At 43.2% G+C, this 20,031-nt stretch overlaps 16 gene segments (V, D, J or C) and 1 further gene, besides 4 other annotated features; all 17 read left to right on the forward strand.

Annotated features, from left to right (window-relative positions):
* The window catches only part of TRA (T cell receptor alpha locus), a 930,229-nt gene that overhangs the window by 877,276 nt on the left and 32,922 nt on the right, over nt 1–20,031 (forward strand).
* Nucleotides 510–570, forward strand: TRAJ40 (T cell receptor alpha joining 40). The segment is given in 1 exon segment: nt 510–570. A coding segment is annotated over 1 exon segment (61 nt), but the record flags the coding sequence as incomplete, so codon positions are not given.
* On the forward strand, nt 2,422–2,484 carry TRAJ39 (T cell receptor alpha joining 39). The segment is given in 1 exon segment: nt 2,422–2,484. A coding segment is annotated over 1 exon segment (63 nt), but the record flags the coding sequence as incomplete, so codon positions are not given.
* On the forward strand, nt 3,052–3,113 carry TRAJ38 (T cell receptor alpha joining 38). The segment is given in 1 exon segment: nt 3,052–3,113. A coding segment is annotated over 1 exon segment (62 nt), but the record flags the coding sequence as incomplete, so codon positions are not given.
* On the forward strand, nt 4,571–4,632 carry TRAJ37 (T cell receptor alpha joining 37). The segment is given in 1 exon segment: nt 4,571–4,632. A coding segment is annotated over 1 exon segment (62 nt), but the record flags the coding sequence as incomplete, so codon positions are not given.
* Nucleotides 5,931–5,989, forward strand: TRAJ36 (T cell receptor alpha joining 36). The segment is given in 1 exon segment: nt 5,931–5,989. A coding segment is annotated over 1 exon segment (59 nt), but the record flags the coding sequence as incomplete, so codon positions are not given.
* TRAJ35 (T cell receptor alpha joining 35 (non-functional)) lies at nt 7,465–7,523 on the forward strand. The segment is given in 1 exon segment: nt 7,465–7,523. A coding segment is annotated over 1 exon segment (59 nt), but the record flags the coding sequence as incomplete, so codon positions are not given.
* TRAJ34 (T cell receptor alpha joining 34) lies at nt 8,487–8,544 on the forward strand. The segment is given in 1 exon segment: nt 8,487–8,544. A coding segment is annotated over 1 exon segment (58 nt), but the record flags the coding sequence as incomplete, so codon positions are not given.
* On the forward strand, nt 9,423–9,479 carry TRAJ33 (T cell receptor alpha joining 33). The segment is given in 1 exon segment: nt 9,423–9,479. A coding segment is annotated over 1 exon segment (57 nt), but the record flags the coding sequence as incomplete, so codon positions are not given.
* Nucleotides 9,781–9,860: an enhancer, noted in NCBI's record as "active region_8122". NCBI's record gives its function as "activates an Ori minimal core promoter by ATAC-STARR-seq in GM12878 lymphoblastoid cells {active_cell/tissue: GM12878}" and the evidence as "EXISTENCE:reporter gene assay evidence [ECO:0000049][PMID:35858748]".
* On the forward strand, nt 10,162–10,227 carry TRAJ32 (T cell receptor alpha joining 32). The segment is given in 1 exon segment: nt 10,162–10,227. A coding segment is annotated over 1 exon segment (66 nt), but the record flags the coding sequence as incomplete, so codon positions are not given.
* Nucleotides 10,591–10,940: an enhancer, noted in NCBI's record as "active region_8123". NCBI's record gives its function as "activates an Ori minimal core promoter by ATAC-STARR-seq in GM12878 lymphoblastoid cells {active_cell/tissue: GM12878}" and the evidence as "EXISTENCE:reporter gene assay evidence [ECO:0000049][PMID:35858748]".
* Nucleotides 11,131–11,280: an enhancer, noted in NCBI's record as "active region_8124". NCBI's record gives its function as "activates an Ori minimal core promoter by ATAC-STARR-seq in GM12878 lymphoblastoid cells {active_cell/tissue: GM12878}" and the evidence as "EXISTENCE:reporter gene assay evidence [ECO:0000049][PMID:35858748]".
* On the forward strand, nt 11,789–11,845 carry TRAJ31 (T cell receptor alpha joining 31). The segment is given in 1 exon segment: nt 11,789–11,845. A coding segment is annotated over 1 exon segment (57 nt), but the record flags the coding sequence as incomplete, so codon positions are not given.
* Nucleotides 13,673–13,729, forward strand: TRAJ30 (T cell receptor alpha joining 30). The segment is given in 1 exon segment: nt 13,673–13,729. A coding segment is annotated over 1 exon segment (57 nt), but the record flags the coding sequence as incomplete, so codon positions are not given.
* TRAJ29 (T cell receptor alpha joining 29) lies at nt 14,760–14,819 on the forward strand. The segment is given in 1 exon segment: nt 14,760–14,819. A coding segment is annotated over 1 exon segment (60 nt), but the record flags the coding sequence as incomplete, so codon positions are not given.
* Nucleotides 16,444–16,509, forward strand: TRAJ28 (T cell receptor alpha joining 28). The segment is given in 1 exon segment: nt 16,444–16,509. A coding segment is annotated over 1 exon segment (66 nt), but the record flags the coding sequence as incomplete, so codon positions are not given.
* On the forward strand, nt 17,094–17,152 carry TRAJ27 (T cell receptor alpha joining 27). The segment is given in 1 exon segment: nt 17,094–17,152. A coding segment is annotated over 1 exon segment (59 nt), but the record flags the coding sequence as incomplete, so codon positions are not given.
* Nucleotides 18,628–18,737: an enhancer, noted in NCBI's record as "active region_8125". NCBI's record gives its function as "activates an Ori minimal core promoter by ATAC-STARR-seq in GM12878 lymphoblastoid cells {active_cell/tissue: GM12878}" and the evidence as "EXISTENCE:reporter gene assay evidence [ECO:0000049][PMID:35858748]".
* On the forward strand, nt 19,267–19,326 carry TRAJ26 (T cell receptor alpha joining 26). The segment is given in 1 exon segment: nt 19,267–19,326. A coding segment is annotated over 1 exon segment (60 nt), but the record flags the coding sequence as incomplete, so codon positions are not given.
* TRAJ25 (T cell receptor alpha joining 25 (non-functional)) lies at nt 19,633–19,692 on the forward strand. The segment is given in 1 exon segment: nt 19,633–19,692. A coding segment is annotated over 1 exon segment (60 nt), but the record flags the coding sequence as incomplete, so codon positions are not given.

Raw genomic sequence — 20,031 nt, forward strand, 5'->3', positions numbered from 1 at the left:
GGCTTTATCTTTTAAAGGTGGATTTTACTCTTGATAATCAAAATCCTTTCAGAACCAAGGCTATTAAATAGAGGAGAGAATCGACTAGTTACTGATACTGTTTTGGATCCAAAAATAGATGTAACTATAAAATAATGTCATGGGTTTGTTTATGTGGCTCATAAACTGGCTCTCGGGGGGAATCCTAGATGGAATATTTCAGAGGGTTCAACAGTCATTTAGATGCTTAAGTCCTCATATGTTCACTAAATCAGACTCTTTAATTAATAAACATGCATAAAGATAGCATGAGATTGAAGAACTTTTGCAAACTCGGACCCAATAGAAGCAGTGAAGACTTTCTGTATGAATTAAGATATAATCCGAAATAAATTACTTGTAGAAAAATACGAGGTCAAGGCCTTTCAATGGGGAAAGTGCATGTAATGCCCCTTTTATTCATGGAGAGTAAAGCTGCTTCCATAAATGGTAACATTATGTTGGTTTATGTAGAGACACATAACACTGTGACTACCTCAGGAACCTACAAATACATCTTTGGAACAGGCACCAGGCTGAAGGTTTTAGCAAGTGAGTATTACAGACAAGACAGGCTGTATTTTAAAGGTTGTTGGTGTTCATGTTTGAGGGACAAGGGAAGGTAGGACAAGGGAAATACCCATGTAAACTGTGCAAGCTAAAATCACTGCTATCTGAAGCGGCAATTCTGGGTCCCTCTACTCTGGACAGGAGGGGCGAAGGAGAGCTCTGAGGCTTACCATGATGGACTTACTGCCGATTTCATAAGAATTGTATCCATCATTAGCAAAATGTTTATGACTTGAAGGCCTCAAGAAACTCCTGTTAACACAACAGGAGTTCTGTGTTCTTTATTCTTTTAAAACTATATTCTCACTTTACATTTTTCACTCATTTTTCTGCCTTTTTTTATGCGTCTCTCCTCTGTGCAACTCAATGCTTCATCTGGGCATTCATATTTTGAGAAATCATCTCAAGAGGAAATCATGTCCAGATCCTAGCATGTCACTCAAAGCTCTCTGAAATCTGGGCCCTTTCTATTCTCCAAATTTATTCCCACTGATTCCCTTTCATGAATGCTCTGCTCCAGGAAAACTAGGTATCTCCCTCCCTTGAATATTTACACATGCCCACACCTGTACCCTGTGTCCATACATCAGACATCCTGGACCCACCACCTAAAACAGGCTTGCACAGGTGACAAAATTTGGCCTCATCATCTCTCAGCCTTGAGACCCAGCACAGGCATCACCAGATTTAGTTTCATAGGAAGAGCATGAAAAATCATATCATTTTTTAATTAAGCAGGCCAAGGTAAGAGATCCATCAGACAAAGAAGCAAAGTAGGAAGGAGAGAGATGGCTTCTGTAATGGGTTTGCAAAGGAGAGCTCTGTCCCTGAAATAGCACTAATATAATCCAAGTAGGAGATTTACAGGCTGCATGTTTCTTGGTTTCCCTTTGGAGTGCTCCATTCCTAACACCAGTTGTTAAGCCCCTGGTCCTGAATGTGGCCGGGGGTGAGGAAGTGGGAGGAGACCATGCTGGCCACTCAGTGGTGGTGCCCATGGAGTTTCGGGCTCAGACTTTCTGTGAGATACCTCAAAATTGAGAGAAGCTCAAAAGGATCATGCAGCAAAAATGGGAGAAGTCACCTTCTTAGTCATAAGAGGATTATTTCTGATTAGTCCTTGAGCTGTGTTATGTCCTGGGGAAGGGACAGTAAGAGTAGAAAAGTCTCTCCTAGGACAAGGATAGGAAGTGGTGAAAAGTCCTTTTCCTGGTGACTAGCAAAGCAGGGGATGAAAAGATCTGGAGTTGGAGTCCAGGGTGGATTCCAGGGCAGACAACTGCATAGGACTGTCTCGAGTTCTGTGGATTGAAAAGGTTGGGCATCCCTTCAGATGTTCCTGAGCTGACCTCAGTCAGAGGTGCGTGGCTCCAGCACCCAGAAGGTGTGACCAGCACACCAACCCCTCCTCCCAGGTGGGCCGTGACAGCTTCCCTCAATCCCTCCCACTCTGACAACAGTCTCTCTGATTGCTTTTGCTTTGGTGCTCTGGACATAAACTGTTCCTACTTTGTCCAAGTGAGGTATATAATTTTCAGAACGCTGGAGAATTATTATCTAAAACACCAGTGGATACGCTACAATTTTGGCATTCAGTATTCTGGGCTTGTGCAGGAAAACTCTTTCTTTAGAACATGTAGAAAGACTATCCTTTAGTTATCCAGTGTGGAAACAGTCCTGAAATCCAAACTGATACTGCGATCCTGTGCCAGGTTATTACTGTGACAATTACTTAATATTCTCTGTGCTCACGATATCACTCCTTCCAGAAGATCTTTAGGGAAAACTTAGTTCAGTTTCTAGGAGGTTTTTGCTCAGCCGAAGATCACTGTGTGAATAATAATGCAGGCAACATGCTCACCTTTGGAGGGGGAACAAGGTTAATGGTCAAACCCCGTGAGTATCTCTGCTGAATCCATAATGAATGCTCTAATTTCAAAAGGAAGCCGTAGCACTGAGCTCTGTTTTCTGTTTTCTCTACTTAATTTTATCTTTTATATTAATTCTAATGGTTACATGTTATCGATACATGGCATATGTATATATGAAAATGGACATACATGTAACTGTCTGGCGTGGGAACAAATGTGCTGGAGAAAAACAGATTTCTTGTCCTTTTTGTCTTAACCATTTGGGTCAGAAGGTCTGACTGAGTAGAACATGGGCTGGGTGAGCACTGCAGTGGGGGAATCCTTCTCCAGCAGCTTTGTCAGAATTATGCTCTTTGCTGGCCTGGTCAGAAGGCAGCTTTGTCAGGAGGTGGAAGGATGAACTAGTTAACCTCAGAAGAGCCTTTCCACTCCGACCATGCTGGGAATAGACCGCCATAATAAACAGTCTTTTCCGCTGCCTCTTTAGCCAACGTCCCAGCTGGAGGAGCACGCCGGCCAGATTTGGGGATTGAAAGGGATTTCCTGATACACATTGGCCTGGTCGGTTTTGGTAAAGCTTTCTATGACTGTGTAATGCTGGCAACAACCGTAAGCTGATTTGGGGATTGGGAACAAGCCTGGCAGTAAATCCGAGTGAGTCTTCGTGTTAACTCTGTCAAACCTGTCTGTGCAGTTTGAAATATCTCAGAAACTGCCTCCTTCTTTTTTAGCCCTGAGGTTTAAGATATCTAGTTATGGCTAGTGTTTTCTTCCTGTCCACCAAAGCTGAACCCTTGCCTACCCCTCAATCAAAATAACTAGATAGAGGGATCCATATGAGCAGGGTAGGAAGGCCATTGGAGTGTTCAGCTGTTTTCTTAGAGAGCAAATACATTCGTGCATTCCAAAAAGGCCTGTGTGGGAGCACTGAATATTACAGAAGGTGAGTGTGTAGCACATTTCATGGCCGCTTTAGTCTGCACTATGCCAACCTCACCGTGGGCCATTGGTAAATACTGTTGCTTTCTGGCCAAAGACAGGTCAAGTGCTGGGAACTCTCGGGACTCACAGTCACGCTAGTGACCGTGCTAGAGCACATCTCCCCACTGTGGATTATCCAGAATGACTCAAACTTGCGATATAACTCCTGCATCTCTCAGTTCTCTTTGGCTTAGAGCCTTATTGTGGATTTGCTAGAGGTAACAGGAAAGGAACTGATTTCATCCTAATTCTAGCCTCTTCTGAGAAGTTATTCTCTGCAAGAGTCTTCAGGAGCATCTTACAGACCACCTACACTATTCAGAATTTTGTTCCGCACACCACATTGTGTTCCCAGCAGTGTTTGCTGTGGCTTTGGCTGGGGCCAGGTCCTGAGTCAGTTCTGGAGCTCCAGGCTTGGCAAAGCTGGATAAGGGCAAGGGGAGTTGTACAGCAGAACCAAAGGGCTTCAGGAAAGACATCTTTGATATAGACATTAATGAATTTCTAAATGGGCTTCTATATGCTAACCTGATAAGACTCTCTGGGGAGAAGGTCATGCTTTCCTTTGCAGCTCTAAATATAAGACACATGCAGAAAAAAAAAAAGAATGGGAAATGTCTGTTACAGTGCCAAAATGAAGATAATCAGTATAAATATTAGATTTGTCTTAATATTAAGTTTATGAAATGTAAGTCTTTCAGAAGAACTATCTCAGGATATATTTATTAGGTCAATGAAATATTTTATCCATGTGACTGGTATACACACTTCAAAGGAGAACCCAAAATGGCAGGCAGGGGAGGGTGGCTAATGAAAGGTATGGCATAGTAGTTAAGAATATGAATTTTGGAATAAAACTGTTTGGGTAAATCCTAATTCAGAAGGTTACTTAATCTCTTTATGCCTCTTTTTTCTCATCTGTAAAATGGGGATGGTAATAGTACCTAGCTCACTGAGATGTTACGAGATTTAAAGAGCTAATACCTATAATGGACTTTGCATAATGGCAGCCCGATTGAAAGTTTTCAGTTAATATGTTTTTATTGCTACTATGTCAGGTTGCTGGAGGGAAGGAAGAAAAATGGAAATGATCCCCATTTATAGTTTTTGTAAAGTACAGCATTAGAGTGTGGCTCTAGCAACACAGGCAAACTAATCTTTGGGCAAGGGACAACTTTACAAGTAAAACCAGGTAGGTCTGGATGTTTCTAAGTGAAGTGCAGTTATCCACTCTGTTCGTTTTTTGTTTAATCTTCTCTGTCTCAACTTCTAACCAAAAACTCTTACTCTTAGGTTATATTTTCCTTTTATAAAAGTAAGTAGAATGTGTGTAAAGTCTGGTTGATATGATCCTTTCTAACTCACTTGGTTTCAGCTAGTGGCAAAAAGAAGGGTGTATTGGATCTGGAATTCTTAGGTTAAGGCTGAGAGAATGTGAGTTTGGCTGACTTGGAAGAAATAAAAACATCAAATGTGGGTGGTTCACACAAAAGAAGGTGATTTTTCATAATAATATACTAAAGTAGAATCCACCCTTGTGACCACCAGAATTATTCAAGTACAGTCTTCCAAGGACAAAATGGGTAGCATGGAAATGATATGTTTTTTTGGGGGGAAAAAACATGGGGAGAGAGAGAGAAAGGGGACTATTAGTTGTCTGGATTGTTAGGAAACATGGAAGACAGCACTTCTTGTTGTAAGGTTTGGCAAAGGTTATCACCAAGTAGAAGTCCAAATGTGTGTAACATACCCCTGGCAAACGTTATAGAAGAAGGAAGCTGGGGCCGGGCACGGTGGCTCACGCCTGTAATCCCAGCACTTTGGGAGGCCGAGGCGGGTGGATCACGAGGTCAGGAGTTCGAGACCATCCTGGCTAACACAGTGAAACCCCGTCTCTACTAAAAAAAAATACAAAAAATTAGCCAGGCGTGGCGGGCGCCTGTAGTCCCAACTACTACAGAGGCTGAGGCAGGAGAATGGCGTGAACCTGGGAGGTGGAGTTTGTGCCACTGCTGAGATCGCGCCACTGCACTCCAGCGTGCGCGACAGAGTGAGACTCCATCTCAAAAAAAGAAGAAGGAAGCTGGGAGCAGTGTCTCTCACCTGTAATCTCAGCATTTTGGAAGGCTGAGGCAGGAGGATCACTTGAGGCCAGGAGTTCAAGACCACCCTGGGCAACACAGTGAGACCCCCATCTCTACAAAAAATAAATAAATAAAATTTTTTTAAAAATAGCCAGGCATGGTAGCATGCACCTGTCATCCTAGCTACTGAAGAGGTTGAGGCAGGAGGATCACTTGTGCCCAGGAGGTCAAGGTTACAGTGAGCCAAGAACACACCACTGCACTCCAGCCTGGACAACAAAGTAAGATCCTGTCTCTAAAAATATATATTTAAAAATATAAAATAAATAAGTTAAAGAAGGAGGAAGGAGATGAAGAAAATTTGGCTTAGTAGGAAAGCGTTTTTGTACTGGGCAGAAACACTGTGTCAAACTGGGGCAAACAACCTCTTCTTTGGGACTGGAACGAGACTCACCGTTATTCCCTGTAAGTCCTTACCTCTTGACAAAAAAGCTCTTAGTCTGTAATGACAAGTTCTCACATCCCAGACACCTAATGAATTTCTAAATGAGCTTCCATGTGTTAAACTGATAAAACTCTCTAGGGAGAAGGTCACCCTTACCTTTGCGGCTCTAAATGTAAGACATGTTGTAAGAAAAATTGGGAACTGTTAATTGCAGTGCCAAAATGAAGACAGTGATTACAAATATTGGGCTAGTTTTAATGTTAGATTTATAAAATATAAGCCTTTCCAAAGAACCATCTCAGGGTGCATTTATTAGTTTGTGTCTATACAGCCCAATTGTCCAGTTACTTTGATTAATGTTGGTAGCTGATGCAGATATTTAGGGACTTCCTTGAGAAAACTTCTTTGTGCTCAAAATTGCATGAATTGAATGGCACATTACCTAAATAATTGCCAAATCTGTTTCACTTTGTGCTGTATAGACTCAGCCTAATAAAAACAAATGCTGTTGTGCTTTTTCCCAGTCTGTCTCCTCTCCACACAGAAAGTTTCCCTTTCTACTAAACAGCATCTCTTCACACGAAGAAAAGATGCCCAGCAAGCCATTTGACTTATTGCTGCTGCTAGTTTGCATTTATATGACTCCTTTCCTTAGAAGGGATGAAGACACTTTATACGACTTATTAGCTAAACAGATTGACAGCCTAATTAGGAAGAGAGAAACAGATTCTGAGTATCTTTTTGTGGCTGCTGTTCCTACCCCCTCGTGTAGAACATTTGGTCAGATGGCTCTTTGAGACAGAAATAAGACAGGGACGTGGTCTCTGCTTGTAGTGTGGGACGTCTCAGCTGCACCTAAGAGGTTGTCACAGGAGTACTAAATAGGTCAGGGCAACTGACACAGCCAGGAAAATTTCTTTCCCCTAGAACTTGTGTGTGCTCACCAAGCAAAGCGTGACTAATTTTGACATCCATTGTTAGTGTGTGTCTACCCTTCTTGCCTTTGTTTTCAGACCCTTCCTCTCTAGATCCTTTTCCTTCCATCTCCAACTCCTGTATGTAAATCCCTGCTCTCTCCTTTGAATTCCTGACTGCTATGCCCATGCCCAGCACCGGCACCCCCACGCACACTGCTGCCTGCCTCTGTAACCATCAGCTGTATTTCTGAGGACTTTCCTAGCTCCTTGAGTGATCCTCAAATGGCTCAGGGCCCTGAGGGAATCTTTGCTGAGGGTTGGCCCCAGCAGAGCCGCTGCAGAGGTAGAGGTGGCCACCAAGGGACACAGACTGCCTGCATGAAGGCTGGAGCTGGGCCCAGGATGAGGAAAAGCCTCAGGAAGGAGGGGCTGACACGAAATAAGGAATACCATGGCATTCATGAGATGTGCGTCTGAATCCTCTCTCTTGCCTGAGAAGCTTTAGCTTCCACCTTGAGACACAAAACATGTGGTTATGAAGAGATGACAAGGTTTTTGTAAAAGAATGAGCCATTGTGGATAGGCTTTGGGAATGTGCTGCATTGCGGGTCCGGCACTCAAGTGATTGTTTTACCACGTAAGTATATCTTTTCTCATTTCTGTGGGCTGTTATGTCCGTAAATCATATAGAACAGTTCTTCTTATGCACACACACACACACACACCCATTTTCCAGTCACTGAGGAGAAACAGTCTCTGGGTCTACCTACACAGCCAGTTTGACCATTAAGATGGTCAAATTCATTTTTCAAGATAATTTTAACTGGTTCCATTTAATGCTGCCAACAGCCAAGGGCATTAGCATGTCGTGGGAACCTAATCTATGTTCACTCACTGCTGTGGGAGGACAGTCATTTCTTCTTCTCCCCTGGCAGTCAGACTTCAGAATCCAGCTGACCTTTTCCATGCCTGTCTCTTCTGGCAGATTAAGTGGTTATTTCCACTAACTTTCTTGTGGAAAAACACACAAGACAGATATATTCTCCTTCAGTTTTTACTAAGAAAGTTTTGTGGTTATCATTTTGACAATAAACTTCAGCTAGCATAGTCCCTACTATTCATGTTAATAATATCTTGACTTGAACCATCATATTTTCCCCACATCATTCACAATGCATTTCAATGCTGTAACCCACTGCACCATCCCCAGCCCTTTTATCTTCACAACGTTCTCTAATAAGGTAAACAGGATCATACATCATCAAACATATGTCACAGACAGAAAAGCTGACACACAGACAAGTTAAATAATTTAAGTCAAACCAAAAAAAAATCATAACTGGGATTAGAGCTTGAGATTCCCTATTTTCTTACAGTGAACTGTCTTGAGCTGTCACTTAATGCATTGAAAACATAATAAGCACAGGCCATAGGCATTTTCAGAACATGAAACTTGACTGAAACAAAAACTGACTGTTTGATTGCTTTGGTGTTTTAAATGTATCCCCAAATCTCCTTTGCTATTGATAGTCATTTGGTGCCAGTGACAGGGAAGAGCAGAGGGGCTTAGGAGGTTTTTGTAGATCTCAGTATCACTGTGTCTTATAACACCGACAAGCTCATCTTTGGGACTGGGACCAGATTACAAGTCTTTCCAAGTAAGTACTAGAAACCAAGGAGCCATTTTGAAAAGGTGTTTTCTTTTTCTTTTTCTTTTTTTTTTAAATGAAGTTTTGCTCTTTGTTGCGCAGGCTGGAGTGCAGTGGCATGATCTCGGCTCACTACAACCTCCACCTCCCGGGTTCAAGCGATTCTCCTGTCTCAGCCTCCCGAGTAGCTGGGATTACAGGCACCTACCACCACGCCTGGCTAATTTTTGTATTTTTAGTAGAAACAGTGTTTCACCATGTTGGCCAGGCTGGTCTTGAACTCCTGACCTCAAGTGATCTGCCTGCCTCGGCCTGCCAAAGATTACAGGCCACTGCGCCCAGCCTTAAAAGGTGTTTTCTATAAACAGGAACGTTCTCACAGCACTGCAGGCCACCCTTACCAACTCCGAGCTCTGTAGGGGCCTTTAGCACCTATAGCTGCAGAACCTTCTATAAACCAATTAATCTATATGTGAACAATTTAACCTATATGTGAACACCATGGTACTGAGTAAAATCTTACCAGCAGTGAAAAGAAGGCACTAGAGCGTCAGATGCATTATGACTCTAAACAAATGATCTGTTTCCCTCTTTTGCATTTTTATTTAAAATATCAGGGAAGGTGAAGCAAGTTCAACTTCTCCAATTTGAAAACTGTTTCTGAATTATGCTTCCCTTGTATGCAGAGAGACCTAGATTGACTTTGGATGTTTAGTCATTCGATTTAATCAAATGTAATTAAATGAGCAAATAATCTCCAATAGCCAATATTCCTATGTTGTTTCATTGTTTTATGTGCTTTGCTCTAGACTTTTTGTCTGGGCTTTGTCTCTAATAGGATCCCCGGAAGGACAGTGAAGGTTTTTGTTAAGGTTTTTGTGTCTGTGTGGATAGCAACTATCAGTTAATCTGGGGCGCTGGGACCAAGCTAATTATAAAGCCAGGTAAGTCTCAGAGATGTGACTGCACGGGAGAGGAGACACTAGTTGAATAATGCACAAAGTGTAGCATGCAGATTATATTTTTAAGAACAAGTCAGCCTGCTGGAGACAATGCACTCAACCCAAATGGGGTCTCCACTCCCAGTGAGAAGCATGTCAGCCGCTAACTCTTTTGTTTGGTCTAGTAGCTTCCGGAATGAATAATGCTTAAGTAGCCCTCTAAGAGAGCAGAGCCAGGTTGTTAGGGAATATCTAATTCCCTCTGATATGGTTAAAACTCTTTGCCAAGGGCAGAACCAGCCTCATTCCATTGGAAGAGCAAATTCAGAGAAAAAGGAAAGGGTCACACAGCCAAAGACGGTAAAATGTTCAAAGGTGAAAAATAGCCAAGTCTGCAGCTCTCCTGACATCCTTGCCTCAGGCTGCTGTCCCACGTGGAGAGCAGATGCCTGCAAAGCTCTCGGTCACTTGCTGGAGTCACTCAGGGTTCTGGGCCTTGGGATGTAACTTAAATGACAGTGTCAGGGCACTGTCAGAGGAATATGAAGGCTGCAGCGATGCCTGCAAGTCAGCTTTTGCTACACTGGGACTGAGGTGTTCTAAGCCTGGAAAGACACAAAGCTGTCCTCATCCCAACCTGCCGTGCCCCTCCTTGAGGGTTAGTGTAAGGCTCTGAAGGACTGTGTGAATTATGGTGGTGCTACAAACAAGCTCATCTTTGGAACTGGCACTCTGCTTGCTGTCCAGCCAAGTACGTAAGTAGTGGCATGTGTCAGGTGGATTCTGTGTCCATGGCAAGTAGGAAGCGACAGCCACCCTTAGGTGGAAAGGATGGCTGAAGGTTGACTTTGTTCACTGCTGTCATCTCTTATCTGCCGTGATATAGCAGGCTGTCAAAATTCCCATTCTCCTGGATGGCACACCACAGTCAGGGGAGGGGAAACATGCTAATTTTATGATAAACCCCAGGGGAGAAAAAGACTACTGTGGGAAAATTTAGTTGAGAAAATCAAATTGTTCTCAACTAAATGCTGCAGGCTTTATGCTTCTGTGAACCCAGTTTCCCAGTTATTCATTGACCCTGAACATACGTTTACCTGTGCAAATACAATCTCTCCTAACCTATTTATACAATTATGTGTCTGCCGGTCCAAATGCCTTCTTCTATAGGCCATGTTTTTATTTCTCTTCCAAAAGAGACTCCAGAGCCATCCTTGGGAAGAGTGCTGAGAAGTCAGGCAGGCCTAACTCCCAGGGGTCAGGGAGGGGAAAGAGAAGGCTAAGGGTAACTTAGCTCAGTACTAGAACTGTGATCCACGTATCTGTCACTCTATTTCCTACGTTTGCTTCCCTTTTGTTTTCTCTAGAATAAGTTCTTTTTGTTTGCTCTGGACACCCACTGCTCCCAGGATGAAAGGAGAGAAATGAGATCAGTTTTGAACACTTCCTCTTGAAATATAAAGAATCAACAAGTTACAGTCATGTTGGGGACTTCTTCTCTCTCCAAGCTTAAATTTCTATTACGTAAGCCTTACTTTTAACCAAGAAAGTTAGTGACATGGTATCACTGTCTGGGATGCTCACCCCTCTCTCTTTTCTCCAGATACTCCGTGTATACTAAAGCTCAGCCAATGCTCAGCTTTGTGATAAAGGAGCTGTTGTGTGTCTTTATCTCTGCCTTTAGGATACAGTCTTTTTTATAACAGAAAGTGTTCACTTCTCCCATTTATTTCATGGCTGGACTCTCTACCCCTTCCTGGCTGAAACAGCATATGGGTCCATGGTGGAACTTCTTTGGGAAAAAAAAAAAATAGAACTGTTTGACTTTTGCCACTCTTCCCTCATGAAATGTTTTTTAGGCTATCAAATAAGCATTATTACACATTGAGAAGGCTTTGAAAAAACTTGATCACTGAGTCTGGAGGTGAGCTGGGATGGCTCTGTAGCTGGAAAATATCCCTGTGGGTGTAGGAATGTACCGTCCCTTCAAACTTGTGTGTTTAGGGCTGAGCTCACACATACGACAGCAAGAGTTGTTAACAAATTAGATTCAGCTTTGGCAGTTTTATGCCTAGAAATGCAAAAGAATTTTAAAAGCTCATAAGTTTGGCATTTTTAAAGGAGACATTGTTTGCTTTATGTTGCAGAGCCAATTTTTCTTCCTATCATAAAAGGCCAGAAACACAGAGAAAGCAAAAAAAAAAAAGGAAAAAAAAAAAAAACACAAGGAGAGTCTAACTGCCCCCTCACCACAGTGCTATGTGTTTGGTAGGGTTTTACTATGGGTTTCAGTAAAGGCAGGAAGTGCTGTGGGAATAACAATGCCAGACTCATGTTTGGAGATGGAACTCAGCTGGTGGTGAAGCCCAGTAAGTGGCCATGTTTTATTGATATTTGACCAAACAAATAAATCCCGTGAAGTTAGTGGAGATTTAATTTAATATGTAAACAAATCTACTTCTTGAAAAATGACTTTTGTGAATACATGAAACACTCGTGATTATTGAGACTAGAGCAATAATGATAAATAAAGGCAAAATGAGACCACCCCAAATCACCTTTAACATTGTGGCTTAGCCCTCTTTCTTCTAGAGAGATATGGGGCCATGAGCTATTTACAGCCGCAGTATCTCTTAAACTATGTTCTGCAATGACTTGTGTGTTTACTCTGATTTTAGCCACAGAATTTGTTTTCCATTCTATTAAAAATGAGAATCTATCTCATTTTAAATGCTACTAATATTTATAAGGTACCTTCTTTGTCTCTTGTACCTGCATATATATTCATTTCAAAAAGATCTCATAAGAAACCCAAACATTGTCGCATTTTGACAAATGTCCACATCTAGTCCCGTAATGTCAAATTTCACTAAAAACACAGCCTGACTATGCAAATGCAGTGGAAGAAAAAAACAATTCAGAAATGGATTGACACTCCCAGGTGGCTTTATAAACACCTAAAAGGAAATCCAGAGTGAAATAAAATGGCAGGTATGATAACACGATTTTTTTTTAATGATCAATTCCTCCATGGGGAATAAAAGTTTTTAAACTTACCTCCTTGAAAAGGAGGGAAATAGGAGTTCAGGAGCCTGGCATTCCCAGGTGTGCTCCTGGGGTGTCTGTTTCTCCACATTGCCATTTTGGAGACAATAGGACCCATCCAAATGTCCAACCAAAAAACTAATATTAAGAGGCTGGAGTCACCACATTGACTGTCTGTTATTAAACCCTATAACAGGTTATAATTAAGATTATGGAATGACTAACCCAAGGAGCTTTAAAATAGGATAGCCTAGTTTTAAACGGTTCAGCCTTGGGAAATGCTGGAAGACAAGGAAATGAGATAGATGACTCCATAGGTTTGTTTTACGTCTGGTGAACATATCCATCCCATGTTAATTTTTTTTAACGACTATGATAAAGAGCTTCTTTGGGGTCAGGTAGAACCCAAAGGAGGAAGAGAAAATGGGACTTGGTTCTTTAAGTGTCAAACAAGGATCCAGCCAGGGTTGAGGGCAATGGCATAAGGCTTCCCTCTCTTGGTGGTGAGAGACCACATCCATGGACTGTGGAAGGAGAACATTTTCTAAAAGACGGGGATCCCTTGGGCTAAAATGAATGATGCTCATGACCCCCAGCTAGGGCAGGGCTATAATGAGTACAGCAAACATAAGGCAAGGTATCCTCAGAATTTGGTGACAGGGCAAATTCTAGAACTTAAGGCTTAGAGCCAGGGTGAAGGGAAGACTCTGTAATGCAGTTCCTTCTCAGGTGGAAATCCAGATATGTGCCCTAAGTGACCTATTCCTGCCCCATTTTTGTTTGGGCTCTGAAAAGTGGATTCCTAGCTCAGTGGCTGTCTGCCAGGTATCTTTTGCCTTCAGTAACAGAATTATGTTTGATATTGGAAAGGAGTTTGTTGTATTGTTGGCTTTATAATTCACTCTCAGTGTCAAATGAGGTCATTCAACTTCCTCTCGCACATTTGCAATAAGCAGCATGAAATTCAAGCAGAACAACTAGAAGACACAGAGAAAGATGGCTGAGCTGATAATGAGGCCTGTTTATTACAGGAGAAGAGACAATATAGGAATCTGTTAAGTCCCATGAGGTTGAAATATCCACCAAAAAATATGCAGCTGTCCCCCAAAAAAAAGTCACTAGGAGTTTTTGTTATGGTCCCAATCACAGTGTGAACAGAGATGACAAGATCATCTTTGGAAAAGGGACACGACTTCATATTCTCCCCAGTAAGTGCTGTTTATGTGATTTTCTGACATTAACTCCCACTGAGTTCAAACTGCTGAGAGTGTTCAGTAGGAAAGTTTCTAAGACATGTGGGTGGCCTGTAGGTCCTGGGCTCTTCTCTTGCAGAGGTCCAGTCCTCAGCCTTTCCACAGCTGAGCCAAATACCAAATTCTCCCCTCCAGGGCTGGAAAAGTTGCTACCAGTCCTCTGCTACCCAAATATAAATTATTTTTTTATTGTTTATTAAGAAGAGTAAAAGAATCGTGACACTTTGTCCAGAACCTATTTTCCAGTCTTTTCCCCCAGGCTTGTCCCTGGTAACCTCTGTTTGGACTCATTGTTAAGCCCAGCGTGATTTTTGGCTCCAACTAAATTGATTTTGGAAATGACTCCAGCATACCTATGACCCCTCTCCTTCCACCCTCCATAAAAGATTTATTTTTCTTTATTTGGCCTCTGCTGAGATTCCTGGCTTTGATGCCCCAGGATCTCTCATTTCCCTTGTTCCAGGGATAAGTGAGAGATGACTTTTTAAAGAGCTACTTTCATCTTAGAGACAACAAAGAGAGTATGCCAGCAAGAGCAACATCTTGCATTGAGCCTTCTCACTCTATGCCATTTTCCAAATCTTTTTCTTTATTTAGGATAAGTGACCACTCCTTTTTATTTCTAGTACAGCAAAGAGTACATCATGATGTCAGAAACAGGGATTTCCTTTGGAATGTTTTTCACAGGCTAACAATAAGCTAGAAGTCTGCAAGCAATTCAGAAATGCATCCCTGAGCTACAACTCCATGTATGGAAGCTCATCAGCAGGGTAGACAGGCAAAGCAGAAACATTTTAATTATACCATACTTTGTAGAGATTGGGGGAGAAGTGGGCAAATGCGTGCTAAGGAAAAACAAAAACTATGGTTAAGTGGGGAGATTTCTAGATGGTTCTAACAGGGAAGAAGACCAACAAGAGGAAACTTCCAGGAAAACCACCAAGGCCAGGCATTCAGGGTTTTTGTTATGGAGGAAATCACTGTGGGAATTCAGGAAACACACCTCTTGTCTTTGGAAAGGGCACAAGACTTTCTGTGATTGCAAGTAAGTGTTTCTAGCCATCCTTGATTTTGATCAGCAATGGCTTCTTCCCTTGAATTATTTTTCAGTGTACCTAGAATGCTTTTGCCCCCAAGAAAGGTTTGGAAGGAGCTGGGTCATTAGCATTGCGCAGGAAAATTACAGGTTATTCTGTTATAATTCGAAAGCCAACTGGACAGTCATGAATGCACACAGATCTGGGCCCTGCATTGCACCCTGGCCTAGTTGCCTCCAGCTTGTTCTGACCGTAATCCTGGCCCAGTTTCCTCCTCTGATCCCAGGAGACAAAAGCCCTGGGCAGAGAACCAGACTACTTAGCCTGGGGGAAGCACAAAAAGGCTTGTCTGAGATCCATAAGCCTTTTTTTTTTTTCTTTTTCTTTTTTTTTTTTTTTTTTTTTTGAGACAGAGTCTCGCTCTGTCGCCCAGGCTGGAGTGCAGTGGTGCGATCTCGGCTCACTGCAAGCTCCGCCTCCCGGGTTCACACCATTCTCCTGCCTCAGCCTCCCTAGTAGCTGGGACTACAGGTGCTCACCACCACGTCCGGCTAATTTTTTGTATTTTTTTTTAGTAGAGACAGGGTTTCACCGCGTTGGCCAGGATGATCTCGATCTCCCGACCTCGTGATCCACCCGCCTCAGCCTCCCAAAGTGCTGGGATTACAGGCGTGAGCCACCGTGCCCAGCCCCAAAAGCCATTTTTAAATACATTGCAGGTTTCTATTTAATGTTGTTATTCATTTTGATTTGCCCAAGTAATACATTAAAATTTCTCATTGTAAACCATTCAAATTACAGATAAAGTCCAGGCACGGTGGCTCACACCTGTAATCCCAGCACTTTAGAAGGCTGAGGTGGGCAAATCACCTGAGGTCAGGAGTTTGAGACCAGTCTGGCCAACATGATGAAATCCCATCTCTACTAAAAATACGAAAAGTAGTCAATCGTGGTGGCAGGCACCTATAATCCCAGCTACTCAGGAGGCTGAGGCAGGATAATCACTTGAACCCGGGAGGTTGAGGTTGCCATGAGCCGAGATCGTGCCACTGCACTCCAGCCTGGGTGACAGAGTGAGACTCCATCTCAAAAAAAAAAAAAAAATTACAGATAAAACCAGCATTCACCTTGGCCACTTCCTTCAGTATCAGTTTCCTCCTCCCCAAAAGTGACCACTGAAACCAGCTTGGTGTGTTGTGATGAGTTTCTCTGTGGAATATGTTTATGTGAAATCCCATCTTCAACCAGGAAAGCTTGAGAGGGAAAGGGCTCAGACTGCAGTTTGCAGGATTTCAATTAGATATAAGGAACAGTTGATTAGATGTAAGAGCTGTTAGCAAAGGAAAACCTTATAAAAACTAGGAGCTCTTAATAACTAGACAGGTCTTTGGTCAGACAACACACTGACTGAGGACAGGAGGATGGATTCGATGACCTCTGAAAGTCCAGCCAGGACTCTGGAGGACTCTGAGGAATGGTCTGTTCCATAGCCTGCCTCTGTAATGCCCTTCTCTCTTGCCTATTGTCTGGTTGTTGTTACAGTCTGAGCTTTTGTCAGAGCTGCTCCTATGCTGTGAGTGGTCTGATTTTCTCAGCATCTCTGGGGTTTTTGCAAAGCAAGGAAACTCTGTGCATACTCTGGGGCTGGGAGTTACCAACTCACTTTCGGGAAGGGGACCAAACTCTCGGTCATACCAAGTAAGTTCTTCTTTCTGGCTAATTATTCTTCCCGAGAAGCCTGTCTTCCATCATGCAGAAGCTGTCAAAACACAGGTGGTGTTTTCTTTGCTTGGTTTGTGTTGGGTGGTTAGTAATATCAGTTGGAAAACAAGGTTATTAATGCACATATTCCCTGGGGCATTGTATTCGGACATTTAATATCCATGTAGTCTCTCCCTGTGAAAATATGTGAACCTCCACGAAAAGAAAGGTCCAAGGAAAGTAGCAGGGAAAAGGCAGGAATTGGATGAAAATAGCCAAAGAGCCTGCAGGAATATAAACAAGGCAGGATCCCAGGAGACAGAGCAGTAGCCACTTTGAGTGAATTTCCCAGGAGGTGCTCCTGCCAAGGCCCATACCTTCAAGGAAAATTAAGGCAAATAGAATTGGGCTGGGGAGTTGCTACTTATTAGTATTCCTCCCACGTTCTAACCTAATTATAAGGAGGTTGTTTTGGCCATGGGCAGTCATCTCAGGTTTTGTTTTCCTGCTTTCCTCCCTAACCTCCACCTGTCTTCCTAGAGGCCTGAGTCAAGGTTATTGCAATAGCACTAAAGACTGTGTAACACCAATGCAGGCAAATCAACCTTTGGGGATGGGACTACGCTCACTGTGAAGCCAAGTAAGTTGTGTTCTTCTTTGCCTAGGCCTTCAGGGGCAATCAATCAAACCATTAGTTTGAAAAAGACTTTAATCCTATGCATCTGGTTGGGCTCTTTATTAATGTTCTTTCCCCAGGCCAAAGAGAGTTGGTTCTCTTCCCTGCTTTAAAATGAGATATGAGTGCATGTATGCACACACGCATGCCCACATGCAGACTCTTGCTCTAGCTCATGGTAAGGGCTTCTCAGGAGCATATACAACATTTTGAAAGAAATAGAGAAACAAACAATAATGAGCCAATGGAGCTGTCAGGAAGGTTCTCCACCACCCCTGACCAGGCTTCCCAGCAGGATCTCTGGCCATATAGGATGTGCTTGCACTATATCGGATGGTCTAGGATGGGAAATATCTCTCTGTAATTAATTCCAAAATTTGGCAACCCTTATTGCCAGAAAGTACTTCTCATATCTAAGTTTGATCTCCCTGCTGCGATTTAAATATCTACTTGAAAAGAACCACTAGAACTCTGTACATCTGGATTGAGAATCAAGTAACTGCCATAGAATATGAGGCTGAGCACTAAGCCCACCTCTGCAGCACCTCTGACGTGTCATGGGTCCCCTCTGGACATTTTGAGCTCAAGTAATAATGGATTAAGCAGGATAGCACAAGCTTTGGAAACAGAAAAACCTGAATTCAAGTCCTTGCTCCACTACTTACCTAGCTGTGTGACCTTGAACAAGTTACTTAATCTCTCTGAGCCTCAGTTTCCCCATCCACAAAATGAAGATAAAAATATTCCTACCTCGTTGAGTCATCGTAAAGATGAAATAATACAGCTAAAGTAGTTAGCATAGTGCTCAGAACATAGAAAAAGCTCATTAAACCCTCGCTATTAATAATAATGATAAACATCATCTCTAACCCACAGCAGAGCCTTTGTTTGGCCCCTGGGGCTCTTCTGTCAAGGTTCTGTTGTGCATCAGCAGCAGAGCTGGAATTGGGGGGAGGGTGGAGAATGTCAGCCTGTTCTATGAAATTCTTCACCTGGGATTTGAAAGTGGAAATACAAAGAATCCTGACTAATTTAAATACAAAATCATCCAAGTGTCAGAGGCAGGGGAGAGGTTTCTGCAGAGAGCTGCATAGCTGGGATCCTCAAGGCTACACACACACGCTTGGAGCAGGGATGCGGTTCACAGGATGGCAGGGCAAAGGTTGCAGAACTGAAACCTTGTACTTCCCCATCACCAAAATGACCCCAGCATGATTTCCTTTAAGGTGTCCCGAGCCCCTTCCCAAAAGACAGGCTCCCCATGTGGAGGGGCAATGACAGAGGGAAGATGGAAACTTTATGGGAAGGGCGATCTATCCCAAGGTTGTCCTTCTCCTCTTCAGGGTAGTGAAGCTCATGAGAAATATGGCTCCTGAAAATAGCCACTAAATGAAACTCTCCAACCTGGAGGTAGAGGATCAGTAAAGTCTGCAGAGGCAAAATGAGGCAGTTTATTTCAAAGAAAAGAGGTTGAGGGCAAGGTGGGAGTTAAGTCACACATCTAAATCTGGGAAAGGAAGCATTAAACAGAAGACGGAGGGGCTCGGCTCTCCACCTCCACCAGGATTCAGACCACAGGACATGGCTAATACTGCAAGAAGGGAGTTAGGTTAGTGGTAAAACCTTTCTAATAGGTTTTTGAACAGTGAAAATGAGCTGTCAGGAGTAGTTGCCAGGGCACTTTCTCTAGAGAGTTTTTGAAAGGAGATAGACACCCTGCTATCAGAGGTGATTGGAGTGCAGCCCTGCCTCGAGGCAGGAGGAGAAATGAGAGAACCTCTTAAAGCCTCTTTCCAGCCCCCAGAGCCTGTCTCCATGAAAAAGGCCCAGGCTCATTAATGCAGAGCTGCATCCTCCAGGACACAGGGGGTTGCTGGGTTGTTAAGTTTGGAACCTTTGCCGGCTTAGTGGTTACCAAACTCCCTTTGTTCTCAAGACTTGACTTGATAAATGGGCTGGCTTTATCCCTTTAAAGCCAAAAACACAGGTTCTGAGTGCTGTGTTGTTTGTGGTGTTGAGATGCCCAGGCTGGAGGGAGGAAGCTCTAGGGGGTTTTTGCTGAGCCCAGAAACACTGTGGGGATAACTATGGTCAGAATTTTGTCTTTGGTCCCGGAACCAGATTGTCCGTGCTGCCCTGTAAGTACAGTTAAGTGGAGATAGAAAATGAGTCCAGTGCTTGATGTGGGGAGAAGCTGCAGGGTCTTGAGGCCAGGAGTCCACCGTGACCTCAGGAGTGGTGATGGAGAAGAAGGTTAAAAAAGGAATGAGAAACAGAACCATAAGGACAATACAGAGGAAGGGTTCATTTTCGGGAAGGAAAATCACAAGGCCGTGTGATTAACGCTGGAGGAAATGCACTCCTTTGGAGGGTCCCTTCTCAGGAGGGCTTTGTGTCGGGGAAAGCTGAGCTGTTAGGTTTTTGATGCTGAGATAATCACTATGCAGAAGGACAAGGCTTCTCCTTTATCTTTGGGAAGGGGACAAGGCTGCTTGTCAAGCCAAGTAAGTGACATATAATTTATATGTGCTGAATATGATTATCTCCAAGAGGAAAACTTGCCCTCTTTTCCACGGGTGCCTCCTTGGGTCAGGAGGACATTAAAGGTGTTGAGCAGACCAAGGCCCAGTACCTCGTCACCTTCTTCATCCTTGAAGGAGCTTTAAGAGGTGTGGAGGGGAAGAAACCCACCAGGACCCCACCAATAAGCCCAGCCTTGAGACCCCTCCACTCTGTCAGACTTGAATAAGAACCATCTGAGAACAAGGTCTTCCTCAGAAGGGGACTCCAGCATAGTCATCCCCATTTGATAGATTTTGAAACTCAGGGCGGGGCAGAGTGGC

The sequence above is a fragment of the Homo sapiens genome, chromosome 14, assembly GCF_000001405.40.
Source record: "Homo sapiens chromosome 14, GRCh38.p14 Primary Assembly".
Classification (NCBI taxonomy): Eukaryota; Metazoa; Chordata; class Mammalia; order Primates; family Hominidae; genus Homo; species Homo sapiens.